The sequence below is a fragment of the Homo sapiens genome, chromosome 2 (assembly GCF_000001405.40).
Source record: "Homo sapiens chromosome 2, GRCh38.p14 Primary Assembly".
Lineage (NCBI taxonomy): Eukaryota > Metazoa > Chordata > Mammalia > Primates > Hominidae > Homo > Homo sapiens.
Window position 1 is genome coordinate 133263871 of NC_000002.12, and position 21824 is coordinate 133285694.

Genomic DNA, 21824 nt, shown 5'->3' on the forward strand with positions numbered 1-21824 from the left:
TTCTCAAGTAAATATATGCTAGAAACTTGCGGATATCTCAAGAATGCTTTGTAGCTAAAGAAAGTAACATCATTGCCTACTCATTTTGCTTAATTTGCTAGTCTCCCAGCAACTTTGTGCTAACACTTTCATCCCATTTTAGATCCTAGGATAAGGCAATAGTCCAGAGCCCTGGAAAGCCTCCACCTCCAGCAGTTCACCAGGCCACTGAAGCCCCAGGATGGAGTTTCTCTCCAAGACACCCTTCTGGTAATATACATGTTACGTGCATTTCACTTATCTTCTCCAAGTTACATTCCAGTAACTAAGCTTCAGAAGCTTCTTATGAATTGTTTATTCTGTGTTTTAAAGCTCCATCAGCTGTTAGGATGATTTGCAATATTTTTCTTTTTGGTTAAGCAGGATTGGTGAGCATTACTGGGCCTTTTGGTGGAATCCTTGCTATTTAAAATTCCTGCTGCTGGGATTAATGGAGATAATGTCTTTGAAAGCCTTTTGTAAACTGTAAAGTCCTAGTCAAATGTAGTGTGCTGTTATCACATTAACCATCATAGCAATAACCATAAACCAGCTGTAATGGGGGCTTTAAAATGCTGAAACCCATTTGGGTCTTGTCTTTGCTCCATTCCCACCCCCGGGGGCCTACAATGGTGCCCAACATATGGGAGCCTCTGAAGGAAGTTTTGTTTGGAGGAACAAATCAGTGACTCAGAAACATCACATGGTTTTCCAAAGTAATGTCCATAGGCAAAAAGAAGCTAAGTACGACAATTTAAATAATGAAAATACTCTGCCAAAAATATTGGGGTCCTGGAAAGAAATGCTACAGAACAAAGTTCTTCTAAAGAGAATTGATTTGATAATGAAATCTGGTCCTTTACAGTCAGACTGGGAAGGAGAAGGAGTAGAGACAGGTGCAGAAATTTATTAGTCCAGAAAATGTTAGTCCAGGATGGCTCAGAGAAGGAGGCTGCCATCCCAGAAAAGGGAAGGGAGGCTGCAGTTTGAGAGGGAGTATCAAACAGAAAACAAAAAACAAACAAAACCCCCACAAAATAGGCAAAAGCTACTCCTGCAAAGAACATTATAAATGCAGGCTTTTTATCTAGACTGTGTCTTTAAAGTGGTGGAAATGACCAATTCTGTGTCTTAGGAGGGAGGTGGCATGAAGCCGGGAAATGACTGAGGAAGGGATACTGATATGAAATGATTTATTTCTGGAAAATGCTCTTGTAAGCGTTTGCAGGAATAGTTCTGGTTACTAGAGGGGTAGTCTATTTTAGGTACCTATGTATAAGGAGGAGTGAACGAGTGAACAAGTTAGTGGGGATGAAAATAAAAAGGGAAGTGGTAGCGTCCAGCAACACGGGCCTCATTCATAAAACTCAGAAGCCTCAAGGATAAGAAGAGAAATTCCGGGGTGGCTGCCTGTTACTCAGCAAGAAAGCGAACACTGGCTTGCTGGCTCAGCACTTAACCTGAGATGAGGATGTCCTAACAGCCCTTTTTCTCTAAGGGGTAGTGTAGGGTGGGGTGGGGCCAAAAGGAGAGGAGGAGGAAGGCCTGCCACCCGGGAGGTCCCTAGGACTCAGCAGCAGAGAGGGCCTTGCACCAGCGCTCCGCTCTGTTCCAGAAAATATCCTATTTCTGACCATCAATCAGCATTAAGCCAGTTTGGGGGCTGAGCTTTAGGCACAGGCAGTTGCCAGTAGCAACAGGGCACACGCTCCTGGTGAGCTGGGCGGGAGGTGGCAACAAGGGAGGGGCCGCCTGGGCAAGTGGCCTGCAGCTGGGCAGACAAGGTCAGGGATCTCCCCTACACGCGCAAGGGAGGCAGTGCGGAGGGTGGGGGAGGGGGGATCGTGGCATTAGGTGGGGACAGGCGCGCCCTGCTGGGGCCGGGCCAGGGAGTGGCCCAGGCCTCTGACCTCGCTGGGGAGCAGGGAGGGAGTTTTCCCAGTGGCACAGCTATGCCCCTGCCAAACCCAATGGCCTCCCGGCCCGGGAAAGGCGCCACTCCAGTGGCCCCTAGACACTGGAGTCAAGGCCAAGCGACAGGAGAGGCGCTGGCCCTCTGCTTGGGAGGACCACAGAACTCAAGATCTGCCCCTCCCCTGCAGCCCCTTTACGCCCCCACCCTTTAGGAGTCTCTGGAAGATGCCAACGTGGAAGTGTTTCTGCACGTGTGTGTGTTTTCATTTGTGCTTCCCACACAAAAGCGAGGCCCCACAGGTGGAGAGGAGGGCGTGTGTGCGCGCCTGTAGAGCGGGGCTCGGGCTGCGTGGGAGCTGGGCGGGGATGCGCACACACGGACCGACTCCCACAGACTGTCCCCCTTCAGGTGTCCTGGTGCAGGCTTTCAGGGAAGGGAGAGCCCCTAACCTCGCCCCACCTCCCAAAACTTCTCCCCCTGCCGTCGGGCTATGGTAAAGGGGAAAGGACAGGACTCAGGACCTTGAGGGAGGCATTGAGTCAGAGGGCAGAGAGGGGTCAAGGAGACCCAGGCGGGAGGCGCGGAAGCATACAGTCTGCGGGGACAAGGACTGAACGGGGTAGTGGGAGCCAGGTGCCGAAGGGCTGGGGCTAGGGTGGCGGCGCGCAGGGGGCGCGCCTGGGCGGGGAGTGGGCTGGCGTCTCCTTACCTGGCCTTCGGTGGAGCATGCTGCTGCGGGCTGGGGGCGGGGTGGGCGCTGCGTCCCCAGGGGTTGACTCCGCAGCGCCTTCACTTCGGGGGCAGCAAGGCGCGCGCTGCAGAGCCGGGAGTTGCCAAACTTGCCATGTCCAGAGCGCGGAGGCAGCCTGGGCCACGCGCTCACCGCAGCCCGGGCACCTCGCGCTCCTCCGCTTTGTTGTGTTCCGCCGCCAGTCCCCCTGCGCCTGCCTGCCAGTGTCCCCGAGCCCTCTCCTGCCGCGGGACGTTTCACTGGCGCTCAGGGAGGCCCCTCGGGTGGGCAGTGCCACTTTCCTCCTGGAGGCGCGCGTTAAAGATCTGCCTGGGAGCGCCCGGCGGGCGGCTCGGCTTGCGCTCTGATGAGGAGGCTGGGGCCCATCGATTCCCACCCCCTACCCACTCCCCCTCCCCTCCCCTCCGCCGGGCCCCCCCATCAGAAGCTGCTTAGGATCGGCGCTGTCAAATCCAGCCCATCTGCTGCAATCATAATCAGTCTCAACCGAACGGTTCTGACAAATCTCCGCCTGGAGCTGGAGTTGGAGAAGCTGGAGAGTGAGGGGCGGGGAAGGGAGGTGGGGGTGAGGGGACGATGGGGACCGGGCGCCCTGAGAGGGGGCCTGGAGCCTTCTATTGTCTGCCCCTAACGGAGGAACTGAAAAGGGAAGCAGGGATCCAGAAGGGGAAATAGTGCTTTCATTTCCTAGTAAGAAAAAAAAAATCTATTCCCGCAGGTCCCTGGTTCCCTTCACGCCCCCACCCCCAGCCTCAGCTCTGTCTGGGTGGAACGAATGTCTGCTAATGAACTAAACAAACAGGTCTCTTAATCTTATCATGGAGCTGACCCAGAGACTGGCACAGATATCCAAAGTATCATAATTGGCAGGTAAGAGCTGGAACTAACAGCCATTTGTCTGGAGTCAGAAGTTGGTTCCCAAGTGCAGTTGGGAATAAAGCTCTTGGGGGGGAGAACGGCCGTGTAGTGTAGTGTAATTGGCCAGGAAGCTTGGCCCTTGGCCTCCTGTTGGCATTTCCAGAGATAAAAGGAAATCTGCTTTGGGCAAGAAAACGCTGAATTCCCCTTAGCCTCATTTTGAATTTAAAAGATTCGCATATTTTTTTTTCTTTTTCTCATGAAAATACTATTTTTCAAGAAATGCTATTTTATTAGAAAATAATGACTTCAAAAATTGAAAATTTTCCAAGCAGAAATTGCTCCACCTGTAGATGAAATGAGATGCTCCTTTCAATAATATACTTTGAACTATTCCAAAAATTCCACTTTAATACAATCACATATATTTGTACTGGTGATAGATTCACAAGGATTATCTCAAAAAAATGTTTTCAAGTATAATATAAATGGCAGTAGTCCTAGAGACATACAAACAAGTCTTAAAGCATGGAAGAACACAACCAATGGGATTATGTCTAGTTTTATACATTCTTCTCAAGTGCTGGGAAATGTCCAATTACCTTGAATGACAGTATTTGTTTGGGAAATAATTTGTTGGATAAACAAATCACCAGTGGAAAAGTTGAAGAAAATTTTAAGCCCTTTATTCAGATAGGTATAAGAGCTAAGCAAAAATAAATATAATTTACTGTGAAAACTGAATAAAATTCTAAATTAGGGCTCAAATCATTCTTTTGCTTTATGCTATACTTGAGAAATGTGTGCAAGCCACATTAAGCACTCACTTATCTAGGCAGAGACTGTGTTTTCCACTTATTTTATAGCCCAGTGGTGCTTACAACAGCACTAGGCAACTATGGACACTCTATGAATACTGATGGTTTGAAATTTTGATTTACAGGTCAGAATTAAAACTACATACATCATGGTGACTTTATAGCTGAGGCAAAGTGGAGCTCAAGTGTTACTTTCCCAGTAAGCAAATCATGTAAGTCAAGGACAACTACTGGTTAGATTTTACAGCCTTTTTTTTTTTTTTTTTTTTTGAGACGGAGTCTCGCTCTGTCACCCAGGCTGCAGTGCACTGGCGCGATCTCAGCTCACTGCAAGCTCCGCCTCCCGGGTTCACGCCATTCTCCTGCCTCAGCCTCCTGAGTAGCTGGGACTACAGGCGCCCGCCACCGCGCCCGGCTAATTTTTTGTATTTTTAGTAGAGACGGGGTTTCACCGTGGTCTCGATCTCCTGACCTCGTGATCCGCCCGCCGCGGCCTCCAAAAGTGCTGGGATTACAGGCGTGAGCCACCGCACCCGGCCGATTTTACAGAATTTTTATGAATATTTAAGTTTAGAGTTTTTCATTGATAATTTGTTTAATGTGTTTATTACTATTCAATAAAAATTTTGCTAAAATTAACATGGTGCCAAGAAATGAGTATTTCAAAAAGGGTCCTCTCTTACAGAATGAAGTATCATGCTGGTGACTAATTTAACTAACATTGTCCAGGAAATTGCTGTTGTCCAGGAAGAGAAGAGTTGAGCCGAGTGTCAACTACTAGGCTTCTGGCACCATCCTGCACAAGAAATTGGTAAGTTCTACTGTGTTATTTCCTAGCTTGGTGGTCTCAGTTGCATCACAGCTAACTTATAGCCTAAATTGACAGGCCCACCTCCAATTTATTAATTCCTTGGTCTTAACTTCAAAATATATCATCTCATGTTTACTCAATTATTTATTGAACAATCACTATGTGTCAGTGTTGGAATATATGAAGGAAAAATCAAACAAAAATTTTTTACCTTGTGGAGCTTACATTCTGGAGGAGAAGACAAGTTAGAAAAGAGTACATAAGTAAATTATAATGTCTATTAGAAGGTAATCAGTGCAATAGAGAAAAATAAAGCAGAGTGGGCTGGGTGGTGCACAAGTTTAAATACAAGAGTTCTCAGTAAAAATCTCACTGAGAATGCTAAGCCTGAATGAATGATTAAAGGAGGTGAGGGAGCAGGCAAGCCATGCAAATATCTGGGAAGATGGTCCCAGGAAGTGGGAAAAGCAGGTGTAAGTGGCCCTTAAATATGATTGCACCTGGCAAGGTCTAGGAACATTAATGAAACCTTGAGAACAGGACACAGTGAAGGGAGAGGTCAATGAGGGTAGGCTTAGAAGACAGATCACTGGGTGGGGCCAATTAAAGGACTTGGAATTTTACTCCAAATGACAGCGGAGGACACAAGACACAGAGGGAGTGACATGATCATCTGACTTTTGTTTAATAGATCACTCTGGCTCCCATGTTGAGAATTAATTATAGGAGCAGAGAAGGGAGCAGGGAGATCTGTTATTAGGCTATTGCAAGAATCTAGGTAAGAGATGATGGCTTGGACTGGGTGATAGCAAGAAAGATAATGAGAATTGGTGGTGATTTTGAATTGCTTTGAATGTAGAGCCAACAATGAGTGGCTCGAAAGAAAAGAGGGAGTAAAGAGTAACTCCAAGCATTTGGCCCTAGCAACCGGAAGGATGAAGTTGCTATTAATTGAAATGAGAAAGACTATGGGTGGAGCAAATTTTGGTGGAAGAATCAGCTTATATGGGTTAAGACTGGAATGCCTATTAAGTTAAATTTTAAAAATAACTTACGTAAAGCTCTTAGAATAGTTCCTGACTTTTCGTAAGTGCCATACAAATGTTTATGGTGGTGATTATTATTGTTATTAATGTTTGCCAACCAAAATGAGATGTTGAATAGACAATTGTACCATGATTGTGGTGGTAGTTGCAAAACTATATTTTGTTATAATCCAATTGTACACTCAAAAATTGGTGAATTTTATTGTACGTAAACTAAACCTTAAAAAAATTATTAAAAAACAAAGAACTTACTCTCATGTTTTAAAAGGGAGAATATGGAACTTTCCCATCTGAGAAGAAGCAGCTTCGGAAGTATCACCATTTTGTATACCCATTGAAATAACTGATGTAAATAAAGATCACCAATAGATGCTAAAGCCATTAAGTAAAGGTTTGATGGAAAATAGTGAGGTAGGTGAATAGGGTCTGGAGGCAGAGAACCTAAGGCCGATTCACGCTGACTTCCTAAAGCTAAATCAAAAGGAAAACCCCAACTTTCCACACTTAAGCAACAAAAGTACTGGAGGCTGCTCCCTTTACAAACCACCCTCTCCTTTCTGCGTGGCAGATGGAAAATTGAAAGTATCTTTGATTGGTTGCTTTCCACAACCAATCAGATGCTTGCATAGGGTGTAACCTTTGTAACTTCACTTCAGCCTGATTGGTTGCTTCCCTCCGACTGATTGCCGGCCACTCCTTCATTTACATAGGGTGTACACCAAGTAACCAATGGGAAAACTCTAATTCTGTACTGGGGCTCTTGGATCCTATTCTTGGACCCGCTCCCACCCTGCGGAGTGTACTTTTGTTTTTTGTTGCTTCAAATTTTTTTTTTTTTTTTTTCTTTTTTGAGAGGGAGTCTCACTCTGTCGCCCAGGCTGGAGTGCAGTGGCATGATCTCAGCTGAGTGCAAGCTCTGCCTCCCGGGTTCACGTCATTCTCCTGCCTCAGCCTCCCGAGTAGCTGGGACTACAGTGGCCCGCCACCAGGCCCGGCTAATTTTTTTTTTTTTTTTTTCCTATTTTTAGTAGAGACAGGGTTTCATCGTGTTAGCCAGGATGGTCTTGATCTCCTGACCTCATGATCCACCAGCCTCGGCCTCCCAAAATGCTAGGATTACAGGTGTGAGCCACTGCACCCGGCCTTGTTGCTTCATTCTTTCCTTGCTTTGTGTGTTTTATCAAGTTATTTGCTTAAGAAGCCAAGAACCTGGACACCCTCCAACAGTAACAATAGAATATTCCAACTACAAATACTGCCTCCTGACTTTTTGTTAACTGCGAAGGGGAAAAGCTGTATTAGACAAGGGAGAAATCACCTGACATGTTTCTCCTTATGTGATGCTGTATGAAAAGTTTTTTGCAATATATTTTTGCAAAAAAACATGTTTAATCTGAGTCTGAGCAAGGCCTTTGCTATAATTCCCACCTTACAGGAAATAAAGATGATAGAGGAACAGATAAATGACATCACAAGGAAACCATTAGGCATAGCGGAATATGGAACTTGCTAGAGGTCTTCAAAAAGTCAGTGTTCATAGAGAATTAAAAAAGTAGAGGCACTATCATAGATTGAAAGAGACGTGACAAATGCAACTAATGGGACTGGGCATCAGTGCAAAATAAGCAGCTATAAAAGACATTTGGGACACGATTAGAGAAATTCAAATAAGACTGGTATTAGCTGATATAATAGAATTTTCATTAATTTTTCTGGGGGTAAAAGTGATACTGTGGTTATAAAGAAAGTAGTCCTTATTTTTAAAAGACACATACTAAAATATCTGGGGTTGAAGTATCATGGTATCTAACACACATTTTGGAAAAAATATCTGTGAAGTAAAAATATTAACATTTGTTGATGCTAAGTTGTGTGCAGATAAATATTTTATTATTCTGGTCTTTTAATTTTTCTATATATTTGAAATTTTTCTTAATAAAAATTGAGCAAAATATACTTATAAAAATCCATGCTCAAAAAGTAATTATAGGAAAATTAGAAAAATTTAGAACTTGATGTCTCAAAAATATCCAAATTATAAGATGGAAAGAAAGGAGTATGTAGAAGGAGATTAATAATTTTAGTGGACATGTAGAAATGAAGAAAAATGGAAATAAATGTTCAAAGTACCCAAACAAAACAGAACAAAAAAAAATAGAATAAAAGAAATGAAATCAAAGTCTAATAAAAGAGAACACAAATCAATACAGGATCAATAAAACAAAGTCTGGTTATATGAATGAAAAACAGTGGAGACATAAATCAATAAGCTTAGGGATAATAAAGACTATATAACTAAGGATAAAATAGATTTTAAAAATAGGACTACTTTACTATGAGCAATTTTATCTGTTTTCAAACTTATTGACATAAAGTGATCAATGTCCTAAAATAAACTTTTAATAAAATTCAATAATCCACGGAATCTTGAACAATCAAATAGATTGAATCAGTAGTTGAAAAAAAATTTGCTGCTGCATAAACATAGGTCCAAAATTTTAAACTTATTCCTTGAGATAAAATTTACCCAAGTTGAATTTGTTTTTAGCATATGCACCGTTATGCAACCATCACCATCCCCTTAGAACAATTTATTTACCCCCAAAAAGTACCTATTAACATTCACTCCTCATTCTCCAGCCAGAGGCAACCAACAATCTGCTTTCTATCCCTGTAGAATTGCCTCTTCTAGACACTTAGTATAAATGGAATCATACAATGTTTAGCCCTTTCTCTGGCTTCTTTCCCTTAGCATAATGTTTTCAAGTTTTGTCCATGTTGTAGCACGTATTGGTGCTTCATTCCTTATTTCCAAATAATATTCCACTGTCTTCATGCACCACATTTTATTTATCCATTCATCAGTTAATGGGCATTTGGGTTGTTTCTGTTCTTTAGCTATTATAAATAATGCTTTTGTAAACATTCATGTACAAGTTTTTGTGTGGGCATATGTATTCATTTCTTCTAGGTATATACCTAAGCTGTGGAATTGCTGAGTCCTATAGTAAGTGTTTAACATTTTGAGGAACTGCCAAGCTAGTTTCCAAAGCAGCTGCACCATTTTACATTCCCACCAGCAATGTCTCAGCGTTCTAATGTCTCCACAGCCTCTCCAACACTTTTATCCTTTGTTTATAGTCATGCTAGAGGATATAAAGTGATGTCTCATGAATTTTATTCGCATTTTCCTGATGGCTAATGACGTTCAGTATCTTTTCATGTGCTTATTGGTCATTTGTATGTGTCTTCTTTGGAGAAATTTCTTTTCAACTCCTTTGTCCATTTTCACATTGGGTTATTTGTCTTTTGATTGTTGAGTCAGGGGCTCATTACCCAATCTTCACAAAACTTGAAAAAATACAGAAACTCTAATAACCCATATCTCACAGAGAGTTACAGGGAATTTTTTAGAAGGGGGAGGAGGAGAAAAAAGGAAGAATAGGAGGAGGAAAGGGGAAAACTAGGGGAAGGGAAGAGGAAGAAATATTTTTATCAGGTTAGAAGGACTCTGATACCAAAAGTAAATATAGGCTGTATGGGAAAGGAAAATTAAGGAGGCTCTCAAAAATTCTTAAGAAAACTTAATCCATCAGTGTGGAAAATTATAACAGTAGTAATAATAATGGTTATAATTAAATGGTGTTACTAAATAAGATTTATCCTGCAATGTAAAGATGATTTGGCCCTAGAAAAATCTATTAATTTCCAAAAAAAAATTTGGGGGAAGATAAAAAAAATTAAAAAGATAATCATTTCAGTAGATGCTGGAAAATTTTAATAACATTCAACACTTATTCAGGGTTTAAAAAAAAATAAATTAAAAAACATTTCACCTCCCCAGGAATAAAAGGGAATGCCCTTAACCTGATAAAGTTTGTCTACCAAAAAAAAAAAAAAAAATCTATAACACGCCTTATATTAAATAGTTAAGTTAAAGAACATTTCCTTTAAATTTTTCCTCTAGACAAGGATCCTTCCATCACCACTTCATTTTCTCTAAGGTCTTAGAGCAGTTATTATTTATCACCAATATTATCAGCATCTCCACAGAAAATGGAAGAGAACCCAGAGGCAAATCAGATATAGTAAGAGAGCAGTTTGTTTACTAGATAAAAGAACAATATACCAAAATGGATAGTGTTCTTAAGATATGTACCAAATTATTAGAAGTGTATACTTTTTAGGAGATCCCACTTAAAAATAGTAAGAACAAAAAAAAATTTAGAAGATACGAATAAACTTAAAGATGTGAAACACCTTTATAGAGAACACTTTGTTGAAGGGCTTAAAAGAATGGAGTAAATAGTAAAACATATAAAAGTGATGGATTGGAAGACTCAATCTTCTGGCTTAATCTTTAAATGTGAAACATTATCAACCAAAATCTCAGCAGATTTATACACTCAACTTACCAGCGAGTCCTAAATTTATTTCAAAAAAGGAAAAGGCCCAAATTAGCCAAATATATTTAGTAAATGTGAAACCTCTAACATTCCAAAAAGGGTCAGGTACCTTACTATAAAACAATGTAATTCAACAGGTAAGAGATGTGGGTTAATTGGAATAGAAAGAGACCCTAGAAACAGACTCACATTTATGGACTCAGGGTATATGAAAGAAATGGCATTATTAATTATTGGGGAAGGATTACTGTCAAAAAATGGCACCAGGTTAACTTTCTATGTGATAATGGAAAAAAAAAAATTAGAATCCTACCTCAGGCCATTTGCAAAACCTAAACTCAGATTAAAAACTAAACATAAAAAGCAAATTTATAAGACTTTTTGAAGAATGCTTTGGAGGATACTTTCATATCAGGCGGGGAAGTATAATGAAGCACTTTACTGTATTAAAATTTTAAAACTTTGTAAAAAAAAAACCATAAACAAAATGAAAAGTCAAGGCATAGACTAGAAGAACCATGAAAAATATGTATTATAAACAGAATACATATCCTAAATTTGTAAAGAACCACAAATCAGTGGGAAAAAGTGAAAAAAAAAGTGGGGGGAAGCATAGAAATAGGCAGTTCATAGAAGATAGTTAAGTGGCAATAACTATATTAAAACTGCTTAATATCAGTACTGGGGAAATGCAAATTAAAACAACAATGAGGTAGCATTTCATGCCTATCATAATTCCAAAATATAATTCTTATTACACTATGTGTTGGTGAGGATGTGTAGAAAGACCTCTTCCACATTGCAGGTGGGAATAATTTGGATATATTTATTAAGTTGAAGGTGTTCGTACTCTGTGACATAGGAACCCCATATCTATGTACTCACGGAAAAGGCTCACACATACACACATACACACAACCACACATGGAACTCGCACGAAATCCATTATATTAAATCTCAAACTTCAGTATGTTCTGGAAAGTATAACCATTATAAATACCACCTGTTGATAACAATGCAATAAAACAAATTATTTAAAAATAAAAATAGAAAACTAACATTTAAGCAACTCTTCAATGAAAGAGATTACAAACCAAAATTTCTAAATTTCTGAAAAATGACAGTGAAAACTACCGGATGCATTTACAGCAGTGGTTACAGAAAAATTGGCAGTCCTATGCACGTGTATCAATGAAAATTAAAAAATATAAATAAAATTTCAGCTCAAAGGCACAAAAGGAAAAATAACCAAAAGAAAGGAATTAAGGGTAACAGTAAAATGTAGTAACAAATTAACAAATCAGAATCTAGTTGCCTTTCTTTTTTAAATAGATCACTACATAACTTAATCATGAAAAAAATGAGGGAGGTGAATAAATCACCAATAAACAGTTGACCCTTAAACAACACAGTATGAGCTGTGCAGATCTACTTATACACAGATTTTTTTTTCAATAAAAGTTATACAGAGTATGCCTGTCTCCCGTTCTACCTCCTCCACCCATTCCACTTCTATCACCCCTGAGAGAGCAAGACCAACTCTTCCTCTTTTTGCTCCTCCTCCTCAGCCCATTTACTGTGAAGACGAAGAGGATGAAGGTCTTTATGATGATCCACGTCCATTTCATGAATAGGAAACATTTTCTCTTCCTTATGATTTTCTTAATAGTACTTCCTTTTCTCTAGCTTACTTTCTTGTAAGACTGCAGTATATAACACACATAACATACAAAATATGTGTTAATAGAATCTTTATGTTATCAGTAAGGCTTCCAGTCAACAATACCATATTAATAGTTAAGTTTTTGTGGGAGTCAAATGTTATTCAGGGAATTTTGACTCTTCAGGGGTCAGCACCCCTAACTCCTATGTTGTTCAAGGGCCAATTATACAAGATAGGAAATGACAAATGGGAACTAACTACAGAAACAAAAATTAAGAGGCAACTTTATAGACGTCATATACATGGAAAAAACTTGAAAACATGGACAAAATTGAAACTTTCTTTGGAAAATACATTTACCAAAATTGGCTCTGTTAGAGATAGAAAGATTAATCAACTCTTCTAGAAAAAAAAAAATACCACCCCACAAAAACATCTCTAGGCCCAAAACAAACTCCCAAAGGCAGACCACTCCAATGCTCCACATTTACTTCAGGACATGGAAAATGAAGAAAAACTTTCTAATTATTTTTATAAAGCAAATATAGCATTGATAATTTAACCTGCAAAAGTCAGTTTTAAAAAAATGAAATGACAGGGTGATGTCACTATATATATCACTGCAAAAATAGTGAATAAATATGACCAAAACAATGTAACACTACATTAAAAAAATATCACGGCCAAGTGACATTTAATCCAGGAATGCAAGTTTGGCTCAATATTAATTGATCCTTTAGTATATGACACCCTGTTAATAAATCTAAAGGAAAAAAATTACAAGATTCTCTACACAAGTGTTTAAATAATCTTTGAGAAAACTGAAAATTTAACACTCTTCCTGATGAAAATAGGAATTGATGTATATTTTCTTAACATCATAAAACATATCATGCACACATATGCTTAGTCCTAACATCAGTATCTCACTTAAGGGGGAACTACTTGAGACACTCCATTTGATCAGGAACAAGGCCAGGATGTCCGCTGCCTCCACTTCTATTAAACATTTTATTGGATTCAATGCAATTATGCAAGATAAATCAAATGGAGGCATAATAATTGGAAAAGAGCAAGTAAAAACTGTATTTGTAGATGACATGGTAGTACTCCTGGAAAATGAAGAAAATTATGATAAAAAATTAACTTGATAAAATTTAGATTCAGTAAAAATTAATATATAGAAGTCAGTTGCTTTCACAGACATTGATAGTAAACTGGTGGAGGATATACTGATAGAGAAAACCTCATTTACATTAGCAACAGAGATGAATAAATATGTAGGGAAAATTAGAAGTCGAAATGTATAAAACCTATCTGGGGAAACGTTAAAACTCCTGTAAATCACAAAAATAGATGTGAAGTAATAGAGACATTGGCTGTTCTATAACAGAATGACTCAAGATTATAAAGCTGTCCGTTCTAAGTTACTTTATAAAATTAACACGATACCAATAAAAATAACAAGGTTCTTTGGGAGCTAGACTAGTTAATACTTAAGTTTATGTGAAGAAACTTCCAAGAAAAGGCAGGAAAACACTAAGAAAGAAAATCCAGGAAGAGAAAATAAAGTATACAGTAAATTTACTATAAAGTTTCTAAAATGAAAACAGTGTGGTGCAGGTGCGTGTCTAGACAACCAGGGAGAAACAGGTTTGAAAATCCAGAAATAGATCCAATTATCTATGGACATTCAACATACAATAAAGGTGGCATTTCAAATCACAAAGAAGGGACTTTTTAAACAAACAGTGCTGGGACAATTCGTTGGCCATTTGACCAAACATAACATTAAATGTATACCTCCCAAACCATACACAAGAATAAATAAATAGATCCAGGATCTAAATGTAAATAATGAAACCACGCCATCACAAGGAATAAAAAACCACAGGTGAATTCCTTTATCAGCTGGATGAAAGGAATGGTTACCTGACAATGACTCAAACTCCAGATGCCATACAGGATTAGTAAATTTGACTATGTAAAATTTTTAAAATAGTATGGTATATCAGCTTTCTATGGCTGCTGTAACAAATTATCGCAAATGTAGTGACCTAAAACAATACAAAGTTATCATCCTACAGTTCTGTAGATTAGAAGCCCCACAGGCCTCACTGATGTAAACTGAAGATGTCAAGAGGACTGCATTTTTTTCTAGAGGCTCTAAGAAAGAACTCATTTCTTTGCCTTTCCCAGCATCTAGAGGCTGCCTACATTCCTTGGTCCATGGCCCCTTCCTCCATCTTCAAAAGCCAGGAACTTTATGTCTCTTACCCTTTTCTGTAGTCACGTCTCCCTCTGCCCACAACCAGGAATGGCTGTTAGTTTTCAAGGACCTGTGATTACACTGGACCCACCTGATTAATCCAGGATAATGTCTTCAACTCAGAGCTCTTACCATCTGCAAGTCCTTTTTGCCATGTAAAGTAACATTTTTAAAAATTCTAAGCATTCTGATATGTATTTTTTTGTGGGTAATTATTTTTCCTACCACACATAGCAAGAAAAAACTCAAAAACAAACCAAAAAATATTTTTAAAATAAATTGAAAGACGTCTGACAAAATGGGAGAAAACATTTGTAGTGATCACAAATAAGAGGCTAATATCCATCCCTAAACTACAAAAAAAAAAAAAAAAACCCTCTTAAAATAAGGGGGAAAGGCCAAAAACTTAATAGAAAAGTTGGCTATAGTCATGGGCAAACAATTCACAAAACGACACGCAAGTGGCCTTTAAACATAGGAAGAGGTAGTCAAGCTCACTCTTAACTAGAGAAATAAAGTTTTAAACTACGCTGAGATACTATCTCTCATTCATCAGATTGGGAGACATTTAGATGTTGATCCTTTATTCTATTGGTGCGACTGTGGGTAATCATGCAGTCTTATACATTGCTGGTAGAAATATAAATTAGTTCAACCATTTTGGAGGAAAATTTGACAATAAGCAAAACTCTATTTTCATTTACCATTTGAGTACACATTCTCACTTTTTGGAGTTAACCCTGAAAGTGTACTTCCAATAATACAAAAGTGCATAGGCACTTTGTTTATTGCCGCACTATCACTGCCCACTGTTGCTTAAAATGTCACTTAACTCATCCTTGGTCACTATATATCCATTTGTATCCCTATTTTATGGCTTATCCGTCAGGTTTGGATTGTATACTACAATTCAGATTTGCAGTCCTTCATTGGGCTTCTACACCACTCTCTGCATAGAACTGAGTAAATGTTTGCTGATTTGAACATTTTTAGGGCTAAACAATCATTTTGTTTTCAAAAATTTTATTTTGGAAAAAAGTTCTCCTACATAACTAATATCACATAGCTTTATTAATTTTGAATTTAACCCAGATTGTTGTCCAATATACTTTTTTTTCACAGTTGTTACTAAGTTTCTGTTTTATCACAGCCAGTCTTAAGTAAGGAAATTAGATTTATTTAATAATTAAACCTCTATGACAATGGCCCAGGGCCAACTGAATTCAGCACAGCAACTTAGAATAAGATTCTACTGGACTTTCTATACTTTTCAGCCACAACTGAGCACACCGTTGTTCTATGATAGCATTATTGTCATTAATGAAATGTATAAATGGAATGCAACTAAATAGTGCCTGGTTAAATAGTTCCTGGGGCTTGGTAACAAAACAAATAAATACACAACCATACTCTGAAGATGAATGTTCTTGTCTTAATTTAGTTATTCACACAACCATCATTCATTAGGAAATTAATACAATCAGGTTCATGTGTCAGGTTCTTAGAATGAGAAGTGTATGATCCTTAAGCCAAAAAAGGTTCATTACTTCAATTTTTAATAATACATCTTCTAGATATTTTATTATCTGTATCCAGATCCTCTTTAGACTGTCTCCTGAAATTACTATGCATATATATACACATACACATATATAGTACCTGTATTTATTGTTATATGCCTATATGCTACTTTTACTGGAATACTTCCCTTTATATTTGAGGACCTCTATTTAAGCAAAGTAATAACCTAAGTACAAACAGGGAAAAAATTCTCCCTCATGTACACACATGCATATTTTTAAAGTTTGTCCAAATCCATCACAATTGAGGCTTAGATTAGCATCCACATGTCTGAAATGGCTGCATAAGGGGGAAGGGTGGTATATATTTAAAGAAAACTTGCATTTAAGAAATTCATTATTGACCCCTTAACCCTAGCATAGGGATAGTTTCTTTTGTTTTCTGTTCGTTTGTTTATTTATTTATTTATTTATTTTTTGAGACAGGGTCTGACTCTCTTGCCCAGGCTGGAGTGCAGTGGTACGATCTCGGCTCACCGCAACCTCCACCTCCCAGGCTCGAGCCATCCTCCCACCTCAGCCTCCTGAGTAGGGAGGTCCCGGGGCTTAGCAGAGTGGCTCCAGGGGATGGCTTAGAAGGACATGGGCACAGGAAATCAAATTTGTGATGACTTAGATCCTTCTTATTTACTTATTTAGGAGTTAGTACATCAAGGTTGCAAAACATCCCAAGAAAACAATTTTTAAAATTCATTCTAGATCAGGAATTGGCACCCACAGGCCAAACCTTGCCAGTTCTATGTAAATAGCGCTTTATTGGAATAGTTATACCTGTTCACTTACGTATCCTTTGTGGGTGTTCTTGAGCTAAGATTACAAAATTGAGCAATTTGTGACAGTGACGATATGGGTACCACTCAGAAAACCAAAAATATTTACTATGTGGTCCTTAACAGAAAAAGTGTGCTGACCCTGCTACAGAAAATATTGCCCTCTTACAAGATGTCATAAACAGGAATGCATACTTTCAAAAAACTATTAATGATTATAATTTTGAGTTATACTGACACAACTAGAGCAATTAAATCCATGTTATAAATTCTAAGGAGTCTTCAAGTTTCTGATATAACTTGTTCTACAGCACATACATTGCTGCTGAATATCAGTGACATTCCGTTTTTAACAGTAAGAATAGAAGTGATTTTAGCTAATTAACTTTTGAAATTAACTTTTTATAGCCAGCAATAACTACAGCAAGATTATTTCTAGATAATTAAAATACAGTGCTCCTAATGAATGGATATCTACTATAACTTTGTTTATAAAGACAAGTATAGTTGCTTATATCATTTCAAATTGTGCTTTGTGTATTCAAAATTATATTTTTTTCAAAATGTAAACTTGGGTTTTTTCAATCTATTTATTTTTATGAACTAGGACTACAACAGTTGCCAAATTTCTAAAATATCTTATAAAATCTTAAAATTACAAAGTCACTATTTGGTAATTAAACCGTTAAAAATATCAAGAAGCCTGGGCCTCAGAATTTCTTATGAAAGGAATAGAGTTTTGAGAGGTATTCTGGAGAGATATTGGAAATTAACATAAAGGAAATAATGAAAGCTGAAATTGATACCTACGGAATTGAAAAATGTTAGCACCATCACAAGTTCTTAAAAGTTAAGAACTATATTCTAGGAACTTAAAGAATGTGTTCTGCCTTTCTACTATTTTTGGCCTGTGTAGGCAGGATATTTTGGAAGGATAGGCTGGGTTGTACCATGGTGACAAGCAACCCCTAGATCTCAGTGGCTTGAAACAAATGCCTATTTCTTCTTCATGCTAGCTTTTGGTGGGGACTCTGCTCATGGTAATCATTTTATGACCCCAGCTTTAGAGAAACCACCATCTTGAGAGCTGCTGGTTGCCATGCAAGAAGAAAGAGCATGTTGGGCAGTTGCAGACCCACAGTTAAATGCTTCAATTTGGAGTGTCACTTTTGCTAACAATTCATTGGCCAGAACGTGTCCCATGACCCCATCCATCCTCAGAGGAGCAGGAGTTGCAATTCTATCACGTGCCTATAAGGAAGAGGGCTGGATATATTTAGTGACAACTCATTAAATGTTTAGGGTAATGATTAACGACCCAGCCCTCCAGCCAAACTAGTTAATTAATGTTTGTGCTTCATTTCCCTCATCTGCAAAATGGGAAGACTAAACCTCATAAAACTGTGATGATTAAATGACTTAATACTTGTGAAGTGTTTAGAACAATACTGTCATATAATGATAAAGTATTATTATTTCTTTTTAACTTTTGTACCTGCCACCCTGGTCTTCAGTGCCAAAAGCAGAGATGAGGGCAAAAACAAAAGTGGGCAGTCTTAGGAATGCTGACCTGGACCCAGTAGGGATGCCTACAACAGATATTCTTGAGAAAAGACCCATGACCAAATGAAAGAGATCAAAGATGCTAGGATTTCCTTATAAGTAACATTGATCCAGAAGGTATGAAACAAGCCATTAGCAGAGCAATGATTTATTTTTAACGGGAATTGGAAGATAAGGGGGATAAAAACACCTAAACTGAAAACAGGACTTTTGTAATATGAAGGCCAGAGGATGAACTTAGGGTGTGGTCATATAATGTATAACATGGATGCAATCAGTGGAAGATGCTGAATAGGGCTATCATATAGCATGCATATTTGGGTAATACGGTATATGAATGAATCTCTTCTAATCTGTGGTTTAGAAGGCTTACACCAGGCTAAACAGGAGTTCAAGTAAATGACTCCCACTAGAAAGAGCTACGGCTACAAAGAAGAGAAATGGGAGCAAAGTGAAAGTCAACCCAACAATTATGTAGAAACATAGCAAGTGGTAGACTAATGACATGGTTCATTCCTACCAGAATTCCTGTTTCCTCAGTACTGGCAGCAATGAGATTGCTCTGAATCCATGATCATCCATATGTATTAAAACAATCCTTGACTGTTGGACACCAAGGAGATGCCAAGATAAACAGACATGATTTCTCTCTTCCAGGGGCTTATTGTTTAACAAGAAAGACATAGGGTATTAACCTACCTTAACATAAATCAGAATGAAGTAAGTTTTATACTACTCACATAAGCAGAACATTATGGGAGTAGAGAAGGAGCAGAGGTTCATTTTTAATATGGAATTTGGGAATGCATTTTGGTGGAGATGGCATTTTAAATGAGATTTTAAAGAAGAGGAAGGGATGAAAATGGATACAATGAATAAGATAACATAATATCATGAGAAGCCAGGAAAATGGGTAAGATTGACCATTTGAAGGAGGTAGAGGAGAAATAGTTTTTTTTTAAAAGGAAGCTTTTGTTCCTTTGTTCCTTTTGTCCTTTGTTCACCCCCAGTAATTCAGCAGCACACACTAGACTGTCTCATTCTATAATTGTATGTATTTCTATCATTCTATAGATTCTATAGATATAATTCTAAAATCATTCTATAATTTTATGTTTATGACTCCCTTTTATTTACCTAAAACATTAACTATAATTTTTAAATGGCTATTTGATGTTAATTTTATTTCTGTAATCTTTAAATGTAAGCGCTACAGTTCACATTTTTCTAGATGGTCACAAAACAAATTCAAAAGATAATAAAGCTGAAAAGGATTTTTTTTTTTTTTTTGAGACAGAGTCTCGCTCTGTTGCCAAGGCTGGAGTGCAATGGCAGGATCTCGGCTCACTGCAACCTCCACCTCCCAGGTTCAAGCGATTCTCCTGCCTCAGCCTCCCGAGTAGCTGGAATTACAGGCACCTGCCACCATGCCCAGCTAATTTTTGTATTTTTAGTAGAGATAGGGTTTCACCATGTTGGCCAGGCTGGTCTCAAACTCCTGACCTCAGGTGATCCGCCCGCCTCGGCCTCCCAAAGTGCTACGATTACAGGCGTGAGCCACCGTGCCCGGCCTTGAAAAGGAATTTTAAGTTAAATTTTTGCTTTATAGATAAAGAATCCAGTGATCAAATGATTTCCTCATAATTGTAGAGTGGCAGACTCAAGAACTTGTAGAACTCATATCCTAATACTGAATGTATTTGTTACTTTAAAAGATAAAATAATCAAGAAAACAACAAAAATGAGTCCAGGGTTACTCTTGTGGTTGCTCTGTGAGTATCATTTGTCAGAAGCAAGGTGAATGATGCCTATAAGATTGTGCATATATATATATATGATTGTATATAATATAAATAGAATAAACATAGAATTAATTACTAACCCCTAAAATGTCTAATTGAGGAGTCACCAATTCAAGCTTGTCTGTGTTTAGGACAAATAAAAGGAAGCCCTACCCCATAGAGTAGGGATTAAGTTGATGGAACTCTTTACCCAACAGGAGGTAGAAGAAGTTGGAAATAAAAACAGATTTTAAATGGCTTATATAAATTAATGACTGGCCCATCACACAGTTAATAAGAAAAAAATAGTATGTGTGGGTCATGTTATGCATGTTTGAAGTTGACATCAAAGAAGTCCTTGCTTTGCCAACTCTGCCAAAGACAGATGGCACGTGGCCATGATGCACCGTGGCAATTCTTGCTTCTGTTTGTGAAACTCTCCAAAGGCTGTGTTTTGGAAGTCATGAGAAATTGCTAGGTTCCTGGGTTGTGAATAGAAGATGGACATTCAAGGAACCAATCTCTATCTGTATATTAACCAAGACAACTATATCTAACATTTTATTCCCAAACAGGAGCATAAGGGACATTTCCACATTCTAACTTTACATGAAGACTCAGGACTTTGAAAGCCCATGAGAAAGTTTTCATAAGGATTTATCCACAATTTCTTCTTTGATTTGCTCAGATGTGAAGCAGGAAACCTTCCAGACATCCTGAACCTCTGAACTTTTTGTGGATTGCCCATCAACACAGGCAAACATTCATGAAGCAATTCAAAAATCTCTTCTCACTGCATTATAAGCATGTCCTTACGTTATTCATATATCAAGAGCATGCCCATTCCCAACCCACAATGGAATGTGAGCCTAATTACATGTTCCTTTGGAATAAGATCTCACCAGCCCAGGAGTGTCAGAAACCCTCTATCATATATACGTATCTTGTTTCCAAAATGATCTTCCCAAGCCACCCTAACAGGCCCCCTTCAGAATGCTTCCTGCTGACAAGTGAATCTGCTTTTTGCCTTTCACCCAATCTCAGCTCATGCTTTCTCTGTGAAAATATCACAGACCACATCTGACAGTGGTCCAGCTAATTAATGTACTCCAATGTCTAGCAAGCATTTGACAGGAAAAATAATCTATACAGTATTTATTGCAAAATCTTCACCAATGTGACAAAGATGAATGTAAACTTTACATAATCATTTTTCATTTGTTATCCAAAGTTGAAAGTGATTTTCAAATGCTAACTTTAAAATTATGATGAGGAAGATAACAGCTCTGCTTTAAAACTGCTTGGCAATGGAATTTCTATAGTATAATGGTTTAGCAATGAGCTAGAAAAATAAACTCTCTTGCTAATGTAGTAAATGGGCCAGAAATAAACTTCTCAGGGATTTGGGTGGTGGGGTGGGGTGAGGGAGGGGCACACAGAGGGGATAGTGGAATTGGATTTCTGGAATAAATGATCTGAAACCCTTAGCACACTATATCTTCAAAAAGCAATGTCTTCCTTTATATAATGCACGTATCACCATCACGATACGAGAGCAACTCGAAGAATCTTAAC

General features: G+C 38.5%; 1 protein-coding gene and 1 long non-coding RNA gene across 19 annotated transcripts in view, besides 1 other annotated feature; one reads left to right on the forward strand and one right to left on the reverse strand.

The window, feature by feature from the left end:
* The window catches only part of NCKAP5 (NCK associated protein 5), a 1003049-nt gene that overhangs the window by 592083 nt on the left and 389142 nt on the right, over positions 1 to 21824 (reverse strand). The window lies entirely within an intron of this gene.
* Positions 1860 to 2483: an enhancer, noted in NCBI's record as "H3K4me1 hESC enhancer chr2:134023302-134023925 (GRCh37/hg19 assembly coordinates)". NCBI's record gives its function as "activates a minimal SCP1, AML or CMV promoter by ChIP-STARR-seq in primed H9 embryonic stem cells {active_cell/tissue: H9 hESC(primed)}" and the evidence as "EXISTENCE:reporter gene assay evidence [ECO:0000049][PMID:30033119]".
* On the forward strand, positions 2325 to 20888 carry NCKAP5-AS2 (NCKAP5 antisense RNA 2). The gene is made up of 5 exons (NR_110294.1): positions 2325 to 2426; positions 3403 to 3554; positions 4486 to 4572; positions 5046 to 5171; positions 20825 to 20888. It is a non-coding gene; the product is annotated as an NCKAP5 antisense RNA 2 (long non-coding RNA).